Here is a 15,732-nt window from a genome sequence, read left to right on the forward strand (position 1 = left end):
GCATTTCCTGAAGGGCCTCAGGAAATACCAGGCCCCCGCCCCCAACCCTCCCGCCACCCCCGCCGCCCCCGCCCGTCCGCCCGCTAGCGTCCAGCTCCCTGGCCGCCCCTCCCCCGCCTCCTTCCGGCCGGCCCCCTGCTCGCATCTTGGCTTGCTGAGGCTGCGGGTCTTGGCCGGGCCTTCGAGAATCCCCCGCCGCCTCCCCTTCTGGATGTATCTGCGCCGCCTCCTTTCTCCCTCCCCTTCCTTCCAGCCCTTCATTCCCTCGGGGCGGGCGGGCAGGCCGGCAGGCCCCGCGCAAACCTGGGGAAAGGTAGGTGGAGGGTGCGGGGTCCGATAACTGGCGGCCACACCCAGTAGGCCAGGCAGCTGCAGGAAAGAGGTTAAAGGAGTTGGAAGAGATTCTGGGAACTCGGGGAAGGAATCAGGGAAAGCTGCCTGGAGGAGGCGACATTTAAGTTTGGACTGGAAGAGCAAGGCGGGTCAGACAATAATTCATGTATTTACCAAGCATTTATCGAGCACTTACTGTGTTCAAGACCCTGGGGTTGGGGCAGGAGGCAAGATAACTGTGTCCTTATGGGTTTTGCAGTAGGGAAAACAGTGAAGGCAACCATCTCACAAACTGCTGGAGTTGAGACCACCAGAGGGGACAATAGAATGTTAGTTCCATTTGATCAATGAGACCAGAGAGGACTGGGGTGAAATTACTTTCCCACAGTCACAAGTAGTAGAACTGGGATTCGAACGTGTGCTACTGTAACATGAGCCCCTAACCACAGGAGTCTCTGTGGCTTTTCAAAGCAGACACGCTGCTGCACACAGGAGCAGCTGCCAGCCTGCCTTGCAGCAGCCATGGCCATGCTGCAGGGCCCACCCGGGGCAGGTGCTGGCAGAGGGGACAGCCAGCCACTGGTGGGAGATCTTGCCCTGGGAGAGGCAGCAGCGGAAATTGCTGTGGGATGGTGGAGGCTGTGGTGGCCATGATGTGGTTGCTTCGGGGCCCCTGTGGTTCCAACCAGGGCACTGTGCCTGCCTTCTGTGGCTTCTTCACCCACAGAGAACCCTCACTGGGGCCATGTCCTGCTTCCTGGAGCTGAGATTGAGTCTGGGAGCCCAGGTGGAACCCTTCTCACTCTCTGGGGACCTCCCACCCTTTATCTCCTGGGAGGCTGGGCTAGCATTCCTGCTTTATAGAAGAGGAAACCAGGGTCAGAGAGGCATGATGGCTCGTCCAGGGCCACACAGCAGAAGGCCCGTGTCTGCTCAATGACTGAAGATACGCGGCTCTTTTCTTGATTCTCCATTCATTCGTTCATTCACTCACTCACTGTAACACACGCACATATCCTCTGGGTACTCACTATTCCATTGCACAGCAACCTGAAGGCTTCCAGCTAAGCTTGAGCACCTGAGGACCAGCGACTCTGCCTGGGGGCTTCATCCAGCAGCTGCAGCCTGCTGGCCCCTGCCCCAGAAGGCCACCGTGGTGCTAGAGTAGGCTGTAAAGTGCTATCCCCCGAGTAGCCTTGATGCACAACTGACCTGGTGAGAGTTAGTGATAAACAGTTCTGCATCATCGCCCAAGGTTCCCCAGCTGTCCATAGTGTTATGTGCTCATTCCCATACCCTTTGTTGGCTCCTTCCCTTCCCTGTATCATTTTCCTGACAACCTGAAGGTGATTCTTGGGATCTCATTCAAGCCAAAAACCTTGCACTGGAATATTTTTCCGGACTGGGCTTCTGAGGGTAGCAAATGAAGACATTCATTTATTCAGTCTTCAAACACGATTGACCTAACCTGAGCCCGCCCCATGCTGGGCTCTGGGGGTGTGGGCATGATTCATAGGCATTTTCTGGCCTCCAGAGCCCCTTGCTTGACGGAAGAGGCAGGAACAGCTTCTGATGATTCTAACCCAGTGTGGTTAATGACGTGACCACATCTCCAGGGAGAATGACCCCTTCTGCCTGGGAGGTCAAGCGGCATCTCCAAAGATGTTCCCTTCCAGCTTGGCTTTGAAGGATGAGGAGGTGTTCCCCATCGGGACCAGGGGGCTGGGGAAATGGCATTCTTGGCAAAGAGAACAGCATGTGCAGACCAGGAGCAGGAGCAAGGAGGGGCTGACAGATGGTGGCACTAGGGACGTTGGCAGGGTCAGACTGTGCCAGCCTTGAAGGCCAGGGGAGACCCTGGGACTGTGGCGTGGTCATGGGAAACCACCACTGACAGTTTTGGAGCAAGGGCAGGATTTGGTTTTAGGAAACGCACTTTCTCTGGAAAGACCTACAGGTTTAACGGTCCTTCCTTCCTCATTGTAACTCCCAGCAAGTCAAGGGAGTCCACCCTGGTGCAGCTGAACAGCAGCATCGCTATACGTGGAGCTCTTATTAACACTTCATTCACTGGGTCTTCACACCCTTGAGTGAAGCATCCTTTTTAGTAACCTCTTTTTATAAGTGGGGAAACTGAGGCACGGTACAGGACTCAATCAAGGTCCCATAGCTAGGAAGCGGGGGCATTGGGATTAGAACCCATGTTTCTTGGCCAGGCATGGTGGCTCACGCCTGTAATCTCAGCACTTTGGGAGGCCGAGGTGAGCGGATCACCTGAAGTCAGGAGTTCGAGACTGGCCTGGCCAAGATGGCAAAACCCTAAACATACAAAAATTAGCCAGGCGTGGTGGCACACGCCTGTAATCCAAGCTACTCGGGAGGCTGAGGCAGGAGAATTGCTTGAACCCAGGAGGTGGAGGTTGCAGTGAGCCGAGATCGTGCCACTGCATCCAGCCTGGGCAACGGAGCAAGACTCCGTCTTAAAAAAAAAAAAAAAAAAAAAAGACTGGGCACGGTGGCTCATGCCTGTAATCCCAGCACTTTGGGAGGCCGAGGTGGGTGGATCATGAGGTCAGGAGATCGAGACCATCCTGGCTAACATGGTGAAACCCTGTCTCTACTAAAAATACAAAAAATTAGCTGAGCTTGGTGGCAGGTGCCTGTAGTCTCAGCTACTCGGGAGGCTGAGGCAGGAGAATGGCGTGAACCCAGGAGGCAGAGCTTGCAGAGAGCCAGGATCACACCACTGCACTCTCGGGACAGAGTGAGACTCTGTCTCAAAACAAAACAAAAACAAAAACCCAAACAACAACAACAACAACAAAAGAAGCTGTGTTTCTTTGGCTTTAAGCCCATCCTCTACGTTGCGCCACTGCCATGCTTTTCAGAGGCTAGAGGGCTCCAGGAACCACCTTCTTTCCCCGGCACAGCCCTGGGGGTGGGTGGGTGGGCAGAGAAGGGACAAGCAGCCCAAGTCACAGCCAGGGATGGAGACAGCATGGCTTCTTTCGGAGAAATGAAGAAGCAGGAGTGTTATTCTTGGCCAGGATGGGAAACGGGTTGGAATCTTGGCTCCTATGCTCACCAGCCATGTGGTCTGTGGCAAGCCACATCCTCTCTCTGTGTCTTGACTTACCCATCTGTAAAATGGTGGCTCCTCATAACCCCCACCTCATAGGGCTGTTGTGAAGATTGAACGTACTGAAGACTCAAATTCTTAGTACACTGCCAGGCACGTAGGAAGAGCTCTTAGAGTGTTATTTTATAGCCCTCATTTGAGAGGGTGTGGGCAGGAGCACAGCCTCTGGGCTCCAATCCACAAACTGCCATCTACTAGTCCATTTGTGAGCTGGCTGGTAAATTCACCTTCCTGGGCCTCAGTTTCTTCATCAGTAAAATGGGATAATGATGGTGCCTTCCTAGTTGGGTTGTGGTGAAGGTTAAATGAGATGCCATGTGGAAGTGCAGAGGAGAAGGGCTGCTATAAGGGGCTCCAGGTGGGTGCTGCTGTTATGATTGGGCACCTACTGCATGCTGTGTCCCTGCATACAGGAGTCGACCTTTGAGACCTGCTTATTCATGGCTGTTTCACGGATGTCGAAGTGGAGGCTCAGCAGGGTTGGAGGTTCCCGGAGTCTCCCAGCTGGTAAGGGCGGTGTCAGGACTGGAACCCCAGCCAGGCTGACTCAGACATCCCTGGGGCCTGAGCCCAGCAGGGCAGCTGTGACTCAAGTTTGCAGGAAGAGGAGGAGGAGGGTGGGGTAAATGGGTGCTTGACGGAAGCCACAACCTCTATTCCCTCAGAAATGGAAGTGCTTGGTGAGGTTTGGTGTGTCCGAGCCGAAGAGCAGCCAATGACAGGCCTGGGGATCGTCTGGCACAGCCCACTTGACAAGGCCTTGGAAACTTGGTCTCTGCAGCAGCAACCGGATTTCAGCCTGGGCCTCGGACACCTCGGCCTGGGTACGGATGCGACTTGGATGCAGTCCTTCCCTGGCAGTGGAGGGGATGCCCAGGCTGGCACAGGAGTCTCGGGTCCTCTCCGGCTCTACCCCAATCTGCTGTGTGATTTTGGGCCCAGGCAGGGACCCCTCTGGGCTCTGTTACTGGAGAAAAGGCAAATGGCTGGTACGGGTGGGTCCCCAGCCCTCCTTGCCTGGAGGTCTGCGAGTTGGAGGGCTCTGGGGTAAAGCCAGAGCCAGGCCCGGGGAGAGCCTAGGCTCATCTCTGGTGAACAGGGTACCCTCTAGCCAAAGCAGGGGCAAGGCGAGGCACATGCCCCTCATATGGGAGCTGGGGCTGACCCCCTCTCCTAGCCCTGCACACCTTGAGCACGTGGCCTTGGCCCATCTGCCCTGTGGGTGGACACTTTCCAGCCCTGGGTCCTGAACTCTACCAATCAGCAGGAACCTAGACTCCTGAGGGGTGCAGCCTGGATGGGAGGTCAGGGAACTGGGTTCCTGAGCGCATCTCTGTGCCATTCATCTCTCCATTGGTTTCCCAAATGTGGACTGAGCACACACTGTGAGTCAGGCCTGAGCTAGGTTCTAGGGATGCTACTGTCAACAAGACAGATGAAGGTTCCTGCCCTCATGGAGGGGAGGGAGACAATAAGCAAAGAAATAAATGCATGATGTAATGTCAGCCAGGGAGCGATGCTGCAAAGCAGGGTGGGCGTGGGGAGTGACGCAGGCCGGGGTTGGGGAGGCATCGTTGTAGTGGTCGGGAAGACTGCTCCGAGAGGCAGACTGAGGGAAGGAGGATGGACATCTAGATGTCTGAGGGAAGGGCCATTTGGGCAGAGGAAAGAGCACAGGGCTCAGTGTGTGTGGGGGGGAGGTTGGAGGGGGCTCCGTGTGTAAGGGTGCGAATGGGGAAGGGAGGCAGGCTGCGAGTGGACAGGGCTATATGTAGACTTCATTCTAACTGTGACGCAAAGGCCTTGCAGGGTTTGGGAGGGGGACATGATCTCATTTGGTCTTCCCAATAACTCCCTGCCAGAAAGAGACAGAGCCCCAAATTGCAGTGAGGAAGCTGAGGCTTAGAGGACATCCCTGCACATGTCTGGGGTGTCATATCATCATCGGAGGAGCTGGGACTCAAACCCAGCTCTGGAACCTGCTCTGTCCCCAGCTCCATGATAACATTGTGTGAGGTGCTGGGTGCAGCTCCCAACTCCTCCCTGCTCAACCATGCTCTGTTAGCCTGTGGTCTACAGAGTGGCTTCCTCCAGGGATGTCTTGATGTCTTGCCTTTTTTTTTTTTTTTTTTTTGAGACAGGGTGTTGCTCCATTGCCCAGGCTGAAGTGCAGTGGTGGGATGATAACTCACTGCAGCCTCAACTTCCTGGGCTTAACAGATCCTCCCACCTCAGCCTCTCAAGTAGCTGAGATTACAGGTGCACACCAATACGCCTGGCTAATTAAAAAACAACAAACAAACAAACAAACAAACAAAAATATGTTTTTTTTGTAGAGATGGGGTCTCACTGGGTTGCCCAGGCTGGTCTGAAACTCTTGCCCTCAAGTGATCCTCCCGTCTCAGACTCTCCAAGTGCTAGGATTGAGCCACCACGCCCATCTGGGATGCCTTGTCTTTTATACCTTTACTCCACAAATATGTGCTTAGGCATTGCTTGCTGTGGCCAGAACCTTGCAGGGGTGAGAGACACAGGTAAATGAGAGCTGGTCCCAGCCCTCCCTCAGAAAGCTGCTGGACCACAGGGTGACAAAACTGAAGCTGTCTGTCACATCCGGGAGCAGGTGCTATGAGGATAAGCAGCCAGAGAAGACCCCTAACTTGATCTGTGGCCATCAAAGAAGGCACCCAAGGCAGGATGCCTCCCTGAATCCTAAAGCCAATTAGCAGTCAGCCAGGACAGCTGCTAGAGGGGGTCTAAGGGGGAGTGGAGAGGATGTTCCAGGCAGAGGGAACAGCAGACAGGAAGGCTCAGAGGTGAGTGTGAGCAGGCAGTCTCAGGGACCCCAGACAGTTGGTGAGGCTGCAGTGCTCAGGGGAGGTGTGCCAACAGGTAAGCTGGCAGGGCCGGGTCCCTGGGGGCTGGCTTGTCCTTTCTGCCATTGTCTGAGAGAGTGGGTGGCTGGTATCTGGTGGCCCAGATGAAGATAATGGAGATGCAATTGTGTTCTTCTTTCTGCTCAGTGCCTCTCAGTTAAGGACATTTGCAAAAATTAATAACAGCATATGCTTTTATGTCCTCCACTTAAATTTCCTTTGGATTAAAGAAAGTAACGGAGGGAAAGGAAGAAAAGCAGGAAGGAGCGAGAGAGGGAGGGGAGAAAGAGACAAAAGAAGGAAAATAATTTGGGGAAAAAAAATTTGTCCTTTTCTGGGCTAAGATAGCCCCAGCCTTTGCATTTTCTCACCCACTGAGTCACCAGCCTCCTGCCCTCTTTCAGGACTGTACATCTTGGCCTCTTACCTACTGTGTCCGCGTCAGCCTCCCTCACAGCCTGATGGCCCCTGCGGCAGCCCCAACCCGGTTTCAGGGGCTAAGAAAACTACAGTTGCATGAACGGGTGGAGGTGAGTGGGAGGCAGAAGCGGCGGGGAGAACCAGTCTGTTCCGAGATCTCTGGACCAACCAGTGGATCCTGATGGTCAGCCTTGTCTAGAGCCCCTTCCAGCGTGCAGGCCAGTCCTCCTGGCATTCTTCTAATTACACCGAGCTGTGAGTTATGTGTGCCAAGTATGTGCTGGATTTTGTACCAAGTGCTTTCCATTCATCAGTTCAGGGTAGTGATGCAGGTAGCTCCAGGCTCAGAGAGGAACAGTGACTTCTCCCAGGTCACACAGCTGGAAAGTGGCTGAGTCTGGATTCAAACCCAGACTTCCTTGTTGCTAGGACCTGTATTTTCAACCACTGCCTATGCCTCTATAACGAGCCAGCTTATGGCTGTGTTCACGCAAAGAGAAAAGCATCCAAATGGGAAGGCTGGAGAATTCAAGCAATTTTCCCGCGTGTCAGACAGTCCTGTTTCCCTCTCCCTTCAAAAAAAGTCCTGGATTATCTCTCTCTCTCTCTCTCTCTTTCTTTTTCCTTTTCCTTTTTGTTTTTTTTCTTTGTTTGTTCTTTCTTTCTTTCTTTTTTTTTTTTTTTGAAACAGGGTATTACTCTGTTACTCAGGCTGGAGTGCAGTGGTGTGATCACAGCCCACTGCAGCCTTGATGTACCTGTGTCCCTGGCCTCAGGTGATCCTCCCACCTCAGCCTCCCAAGTAGCTGTGACTATCCCGAGAAGCTGAGACTACAGGTGTGCGCATGCCATCACGCCTCACTAATTATTTTACTTTTTGTAAAGACAGGTTTTTTTCGCCATGTTACTCAGACTGGTCTTGAACTCCTGGGCTTGAGTGATCCATCGGCTCCCAAAGTGTTGGGATTACAGGCATGAGCCACTGCACCTGGCCTGACATCTCAGTCTTGATTTGCACTTTTTGCCCAAAATAATCGAGTGTAAGGCAGGCCAGAAGTGGTCAGGGGGCAGGGACAGTCCCCAGCAGGGTGGCAAGTCTTTCTGCAACATTTTTGGAATACAAGCAGAAAGTGATTTGCTATTCCACACAAAACATGATTGGGAGGGCACTGGATGAATACAACTAAGATCTAAGCATTACTTCAACAAATATATACACAGAGCTAAATCAGTATCAGGAAGTAGTGGAGAAGCACTCAGAATAGGCACAGATCTCCACAGCTGTTAAGAGTCTTGTTACTTTTTTTTTTTTTTTTTGAGATGGATTCTTGCTCTGTCGCCCAGGCTGGAGTGCAGTGGCGCGATCTCAGCTCACTGCAACCTCCGCCTCCCGGGTTTAAGTGATTCTCCTGCCTCAGCCTCCCAAGTAGTTTGCCTTAAGGAGTGTAGACAAAAAGCAAGGGAAGCGTCCCCAGAGAGATCCCGGCCCACAGGGTCAGTGCCTCATCCCCACATAACATAAAAACAGCCTGGGACAGGCGCCCATCACCATGCCTGGCTAATTTTTGTATTTTTTAGTAGAGACGGGGTTTCACCAAATTGGCCAGGCTGGTCTCGAACTCCTGACCTGGTGATCCACCTGCCTCGGCCTCCCAAAGTGCTGGGATTACAGGCGTGAGCCACCGCGCCCGGCCACATTCTTTTTTTTTTTTTTTTTTTTTTTTTTTTGAGATGGAGTCTCGTTCTGTCACCCAGGCTGGAGTACAGTGGCATGATATCAGCTCACTGCAATCTCGGGCTCCCGGGTTCAAGCCATTCTCCTGCCTCAGCCTCCCAAGTAGCTGGGATTACAGGTGCACACCACCACGCCCAGCTAATTTTTGTATTTTTTAAGTAGAGACGGGGTTTCACCATGTTGGTCAGTCTGGACTCGAACTCCTGACCTTGTGATCCGCCCACCTCTGCCTCCGAAAGTGCTGGGATTACAGGCGTGAGCCACTGTGCTCGGTCAGCTGTTTATTGATTTTGAGTATGTTATTGATTTTGTGAATGGAGAAGGGATCATCGGGTAGGGTTCTTTGATCTGGAGCAAAAGATATGGATTCTGATTAACCAAAGGGGAAAAAAGAGGGGGGTGGATTTAGTGGAAAGAACTGGAGTAGTTCAGAGAACCAAAGGCAAGCCAGCACGGTGGCTCACGCCTATAATCCCAAAGACTTGGGAGGCTGAGGTGGGAGGATCGCTTGAGCCCAGGAGTTTGAGGCTGCAGTGAGCCATGATCACGCCGCTGCACTCCAGCCTGGGTAACAGAACAAGACTGTCTCAAAACAAATAAACAAAACAAAACAAAGGCCAGGCTTGGACAGGCCACCACCCAAGGTAGCTGCAGGATCTCAGAAATGAGAATTAACAGGCAAGTTTTTTGTTTGTTTGTTTGTTTGTTTGTTTTTGAGACGGAGTCTCGCTCTATCGCCCAGGCTGGAGTGCAGTGGCGCGATCTTGGCTCACTGCAAACTCCGCCTCCCGGGTTCATGCCATTCTCCTGCCTTAGCCTCCTGAGTAGCTGGGACTACAGGCGCCCGCCACCACACCCGGCTGATTTTTTGTATTTTTATAGAGACGGGGTTTCACTGTGTTAGCCAGGATGGTCTCGATCTGACCTCGTGATCCACCTGCCTCGGCCTCCCAAAGTTCTGGGATTACAGGCGTGAGCCACCGCGCCCGGCCTGTTTGTTTTTTGAGGTGGATTCTCGCTCTGTCACCCAGGCTGGAGTACAGTGGCGTCATCTCGGTGCACTGCAACCTCTGCCTCCCACGTTCAAGGGATTCTCCTGCCTCAGCCTCCCAAGTAGCTGGGACTACAGGCGTGTACCACCATGCCCCGCTAATTTTTGTATTTTTAGTAGAGACAGGGTTTCACCATGTTGGCCAGGCTAGTCTTGAACTCCTGATCTCATGTGATCCGCCTGCCTCGGCCTCCCAAAGTGCTGGGATTACAGGCATGAGCTACTGTGCCCGACCAGCAGGCAAGTTTTTGAAGGCAACACTGCTGTGGGTGGTCCACAGGGTGGACAGATGCTGGGCAGTTAATTCAACAGAGGACCTCTCCAGGTGGCTAGGGTGTTGGCTGACAGCATGCAAATCCCCAGAGCTCTCACCTGCAGCTGGCATGTGAAACCCCACTGAACATGAAGCAGTTTTGTTCTGTAAATCCTACCTTTGGATCTGAGAACCAAATATAGGTTGAGATACCTGGCCTACCAGTAACCTTTAGTCTAGACTATGGAATTTCCCTTCTAGAAACTTACCCTGCAGTTAAATTTGCGCAAGAACATGTATGAGAAACAGAATGCAGGGTATAATGTACGTCATCTGCTGGGGACTGGTTAAATATAGGAAGGCTTTAAGAATGAGGTTGGGTACAGGGGCTCACGCCTGTAATCCCAGCACTTTGGGAGACCGAGGTGGGTGGATCACCTGAGGTCAGAAGTTCGAGACCAGCCTGGCCAATGTGGCGAAACCCCATCTCTACTAAAAATACAAAAATCAGGGGCCGGGAGTGGTGGCTCACGCCTGTAATCCCAGCACTTTGGGAGGCCAAGGTGGGTGGATCACTTGAGGTCAGGAGTTTGAGACCAGCCTGGCCAACACGGTGAAACCCCATCTCCACTAAAAATACAAAAAAGTAGCTGGGCATGGCGGCACATGCCTGTAATCCCAGCTACTCGGGAGGCTGAGGCAGGAGAATCGCTGAACCTGGGAGGTAGAGGTTGCAGTGAGCCAAGATCACACCACTGCACTCCAGCCTAGGCAACAGAGTGAGACTCCGTCTGAGAAAAAAAAAAATTTGGGCCGGGTGCAGTGGGTCACCTGAGGTCAGGAGTTCAAGACCAGCCTGGTCAACATGGTGAAACCGCATCTCTCCTAAAAATACAAACGTTATCTGGGCATGGTGGTGCATGCCTGTAGTCCCAGCTACTCGGGAGGCTGAGGCAGGACAATCATTTGAACCTGGAACACCGAGGTTGCAGTGAGCTGAGATTGTGCCACTGCACTCCAGCCTGGGCAACAGAGCAAGACTCTGACTCAAAAAAAAAAAAAAAAAAAGAGCCTGGGCGTGGTGGCTGACGCCTGTAATCCTAGCACTTTGGGAGGCCGAGGCGGGTGGATCACCTGAGGTCAAGAGTTCAAGACCAGCCTGGCCAATATGGTGAAACCCAGTCTCTACTAAAAATACAAAAGAATTAGCTGGGCATGGTGGTGCATGCCTGTAATGCCAGCTGCTCGGGAGCCTGAGGCAGGAGAATTGCTTGAACCTGGGAGGCGTAGGTTGCAGTGAGCCGAGATCGTGCCACTGCACTCCAGCCTGAGCGACAGAGACTCCGTCTCAAAACAAACAAACAAACAAACAGAATAAGGCAGTTCTCTTTTGGTGGGTGTGCAACAATCTCCAAGAGTTACACTGTTAATGATATAAGCATGAGGTAGTGTGTGGAGGGAGTTACTGTTTCCATGCGTGGGGGTGAAGGAAATACATACAATAAGATTATGTCAGAATCTCTGTTACACTGTAACAGTGATTGCCATTAGGGAGGGGACCTGCAGATCAGGAGAAACAGTAGGAGGGAGACTTGTTGCATATGTCCTTATGCACTGATTGAACTTTTTTTCTGTGCATGTATTTTTTTTTTTTTTCTTTTTCTTCGAGATGGAGTATTGCTCTGTCACCCAGGCTGGAGTGCAGTGATGCGATGTCAGCTCACTGCAAACTCCGCCTCCTGGGTTCAAGCAATTCTCCTGCCTTAGCCTCCTGAGTAGCTGAGATTACAGGCATGTGCCACCACGTCTGGCTAATTTTTGTACTTTTTTTTTTTTTTTTGTAGAGATGGGGTTTCCCTATGTTGCCCAGGCTGGTCAAATGCTACTCTTTTGAGCAGACTTCTTTGTATTACAGTTTGGAGTGGTTATGTTTTAACTCTCAAGCCAAGCTGAAAGTTTTAAGTGTGTGAAACTTGTCTGTAAATTTTCTGAAGAAGCAAGCACCGTGCCCTTCTGAGGCAGGTGAGGAGCTACGGCTTTCTCAGAACACACTAAGAGTCTCTTGTAGAAAGGTGCTATGCACATTTCCAAAGAAGGGGCGCTCTGAGAGAGGACAGCAGAGAATAGTGGATAGATGTTGGTCCCTGGCTCTGACTGACATGTGAAAATCTCAGCCTATCAGCTGGGCCACCAGCTATTGCCCCTCTCTGCACCTCAGTTTACTTTGCTCATCTGTTAAACAGTGATAAGTGTGCCTGTCCTACCCTGTTGCAACGATCTGTCAAGAAAACAAGCCAAGACCGGGTGCCGTGGCTCATGCCTGTAATCTTAGCACTTTGGGAGGCTGAGTCAGGCAGATCACTTGAGGCCAGGAGTTCAAGACCAGCCTGGCCAACATGGTAAAACTGTGTCTCTACTAAAAATACAAAAGTTAGCCGGGCATGGTGGCCTGCACCTGTAATTCCAGCTACTCTGGAGGCTGAGGCAGGAGAATCACTTGAACCTGGGAGGTGGAGGTTGCAGTGAGCCGAGATCTCACCACTGCACTCCAGCCTGGGTGACAGAAAACAAAAAAGACCTGAAGCCAAGGTTGTGTCTGTTTACTAAAACAATGCACGTGAAATGTTTTGTCCAGGTAGTTACCATTTCTTTTTCTTTGGGTGGGAGGGGGGTGTTGTTTGCTTTTTGTGGTTGTGTTTTTGTGTTTTGTTTGTTTGATTTGTTTTTGAGACAAGGTCTCGCTACTGGACCCAAGCGATTCTCCCACCTCAGTCTCCCAAAGTGCTGGGATTACAGGTGTGAACCACCAGGCTCAGCTTATGATAACTGTTTCAAGTCAGAATTTGACAATCTGAAGAAAACTTTTTTTTTTTTTTTGAGACGGAGTCTTGCTCTGTTGTCCAGGCTGGAGTGCAGTGGCGTGATCTTGGCTTACTGCAACCTCTGCCTCCCGGGTTCATGGGATTCTCCTGCCTCAGCCTCCCGAGTAGCTGGGATTACAGGTGTGCACCACCACGCCTGGCTAATTTTTGTATTTTTAGTAGAGACGGGGTTTCCCCATGTTGGCCAGGCTGGTCTCAAACTCCTGACCTCAAGTGATCCACCCACCTCGGTCGGCCTCCCAAAGTGCTGGGATTGGGATTACAGGCATGAGCCACTGTGCCCAGCCAAAAACATTTTTTTTTTCTTTTGAGAAAGAGTCTCACCCTGTCACCCAGGCTAGAGTGCAATGGTGTGATCTCAGCTCACTGCAACTTCTGCCTCCCAGGTTCAAGTGATTCTCTTGCTTCAGCCTCCCGAGTAGCTGGGATTACAGGCATGCACCACCACGCCCAGGTAATTTTTTGCGTCTTTAGTAGAGACAGGTTTTCATAATGTTGGCCAGGCTGGTCTCGAACTCCTGACCTTGTGATCCAGCCACCTCGGCCTCCCAAAGTGCTGGGATTATAGGCGTAAGCCACGGTGACCAGCCTGAAAACGTTTTCTAAATGGCCCATTTTGTTTGGAATCTTCACCACTTTGGGAAAAAGCCTAAAGATTAATGGAACAGAAATGTGCCATAAGATCAGAGACTAGATATTGAGTGGATGCTATCTTTTTTTTTTTTTTTTTTTTTTTTTTTTGAGACGGAGTCTTGCTCTGTTGCCCAGGCTGGAGTGCAGTGGCACGATCTCAGCTCACTGCAACCTCTGCCTCCCAGGTTCAAGCAATTCTCTGCCTCAGCCTCCTGAGTAGCTGGGATTACAGGTGCCCGCCACCACGCCCGGCTAATTTTTTGGTATTTTTAGTAGAGACGGGGTTTCACCATCTTGGCCAGGATGGTCTCAAACTCCTGACCTTGTGATCCACCCTCCTCGGCCTCCCAAAGTGCTGGGATTATAGGCGTGAGCCACCGCGCCCAGCCACGGATGCTATTTTTATAGTTACACATTATGCTCTAGGGAGGAAAAATGATGAAGGTCATTGAAATTTGCTTATGAAATATAATTAAAGCTCTGGAAGAAAGATATTATGTAAATCCCAAGCAGAATGATCAGTTTATTAATTGATTTAATGAAGACTGAAAGTATGAAAGTTTGGAACTATCAAAAAAGCTAAATGGAAACCATTTCAAAATGGGGTTACTTAATCCCAGCACTCTGGGAGGCCGAGGCAGGAGAATAACCTGAGGTCAGGAGTTTGAGACCAGCCTGACCAACATGGTGAAACCCCGTCTCTACTAAAAATACAAAATTAGCCGGGGGCGGTAACGCGTGCCCGTAATCCCAGCCACTTAGGAGGCTGAAGCAGGAGAATCGCTTGAACTCCGGAGGCCGAGGTTGCAGTGAGCCAAGATCGAGCCACTGCATTCCAGCCTGGGCAACAAGAGCGAAACTCGGTCTCAAAAAACAAAACAAAACAAACAAAAAAACCCACAAAAAACAGAAAATGGGGTTACTATCAGGAATCTGGATACTGACTAATGAAAATGCAAGTGGGCTGGGCGCGGTGGCTCACGCCTGTAATCCCAGCACTTTGGGAAGCCGAGCCGGGCGGATCACGAGGTCAGGAGATCGAGACCATCCTGGCTAACACGGTGAAACCCCGTCTCTACTAAAAATATAAAAAATGAGCCGGGTGTGGTGGCGGGCACCTGTAGTCCCAGCTACTCGGGAGGCTAAGGCAGGAGTATGGCGTGAACCCGGGAGACGGAGCTTGCAGTGAGCTGAGATCACGCCACTGCACTTCAGCCTGGTCTACAGAGCAAGACTCCGTCTCAAAAAAAAAAAAAAAAAAAAAGAAAGAAAATGCTAGTGGTCTGGCTGAAGAAGGAGAAGAGGGAATTCATTAGTGTGGTGGGCACTCCTGGTCAGCATTTGTTCTTGTCGCAACTCCGGGAATGAGCCCTGATTTGACTACGCCAATTATCATAATTCCCCATTTCACCCTCCCATGATCCAAGTTCTTCCATTCAGAGCAAGCCTAGGATTTTAGTTTGCTGAATTGAGAGAAAGAGATGCTCTCTCTTCCTTCCTTCCTTCCTCCTTTCCTGTCTTCCTTTCTCTCTTTCTCTCTCTTTCTCTCTTTCTTTTTCTCTCTTTCTCTTTCTCTCTCTCTCTCTTTCTTTCTCTCTCTTTCTCTTTTCTTTCTGTCTCGCTCTGTCATCCAGGCTGGAGTGCAGTGGCATGATCTCGGCTCACTGCAACCTTCGCCTCCCGGGTTCAAGCGATTCTTCTGCCTCAGTCTGCCAAGTAGTTGAGACTACAGGCGCGCATCACTATGCCCAGCTAATTTTTGTATTTTTAGTAGAGATGGGGTTTCACCATATTGGCCAGGCTGGTCTCGAACTCCTGACCTTGTGATCTGCCCATCTCGGCTTCCCAAAGTGCTGGGATTACAGGTGTGAACCACTGCACCCAGACTGCTCTCTGTTTTCCATGGCATGGCCAGAGATCTGAGGCATGGATGTGCCACAGCCAATCTGCAGCTAGTCAAGACACCAGCCAAGGAAAATGGCCACATGTCCAAGAGGCATATGCTAAAGAATGGAGCCAGAGCCTTGATCGCACTGCACTTGAACCCTAGCTCTGGAAATTTTGGTTAAATGAGCCAATTGATTCCAATTATCATTTAAGCCAGTTTCAGTGGGGTTTTTCTCTTCCTTTCTTTCTTTCTTTCTTTTTTTTTTTTTTTTTTGGGTAGGGTCTTGCTCTGTTGTCCAGGCTGGAATACAGTGGCACAATCATGGCTCATTGCAACCTCAACCTGCTAGGCTTAAGGGATCCTCCCGCCTCAGCCTCCCAAGTAGCTGGGACTACAGGTGAGCACCACCACGTCCAACTAAGTAAAAAAAAAATTTTTTTTTTAAGAGACAACGTCCCACTATGTTGCCCAGGCTGGCCTCCTACTCCTAAACTCAAGTGATCCTCCCGTGTGGAGCACCAA

At 51.3% G+C, this 15,732-nt stretch overlaps 1 long non-coding RNA gene across 1 annotated transcript; it reads left to right on the forward strand.

Moving 5' to 3' along the window:
• Positions 134-8,112, forward strand: LOC388436 (uncharacterized protein ENSP00000382042). Its single transcript, NR_160286.1, has 4 exons — positions 134-313; positions 3,886-3,979; positions 4,138-4,296; positions 6,753-8,112. It is a non-coding gene; the product is annotated as an uncharacterized protein ENSP00000382042 (long non-coding RNA).
• The last annotated feature ends 7,620 nt before the right edge of the window (positions 8,113-15,732 follow it).

This window comes from Homo sapiens, chromosome 17, assembly GCF_000001405.40.
Source record: "Homo sapiens chromosome 17, GRCh38.p14 Primary Assembly".
NCBI classification, from domain to species: domain Eukaryota; kingdom Metazoa; phylum Chordata; class Mammalia; order Primates; family Hominidae; genus Homo; species Homo sapiens.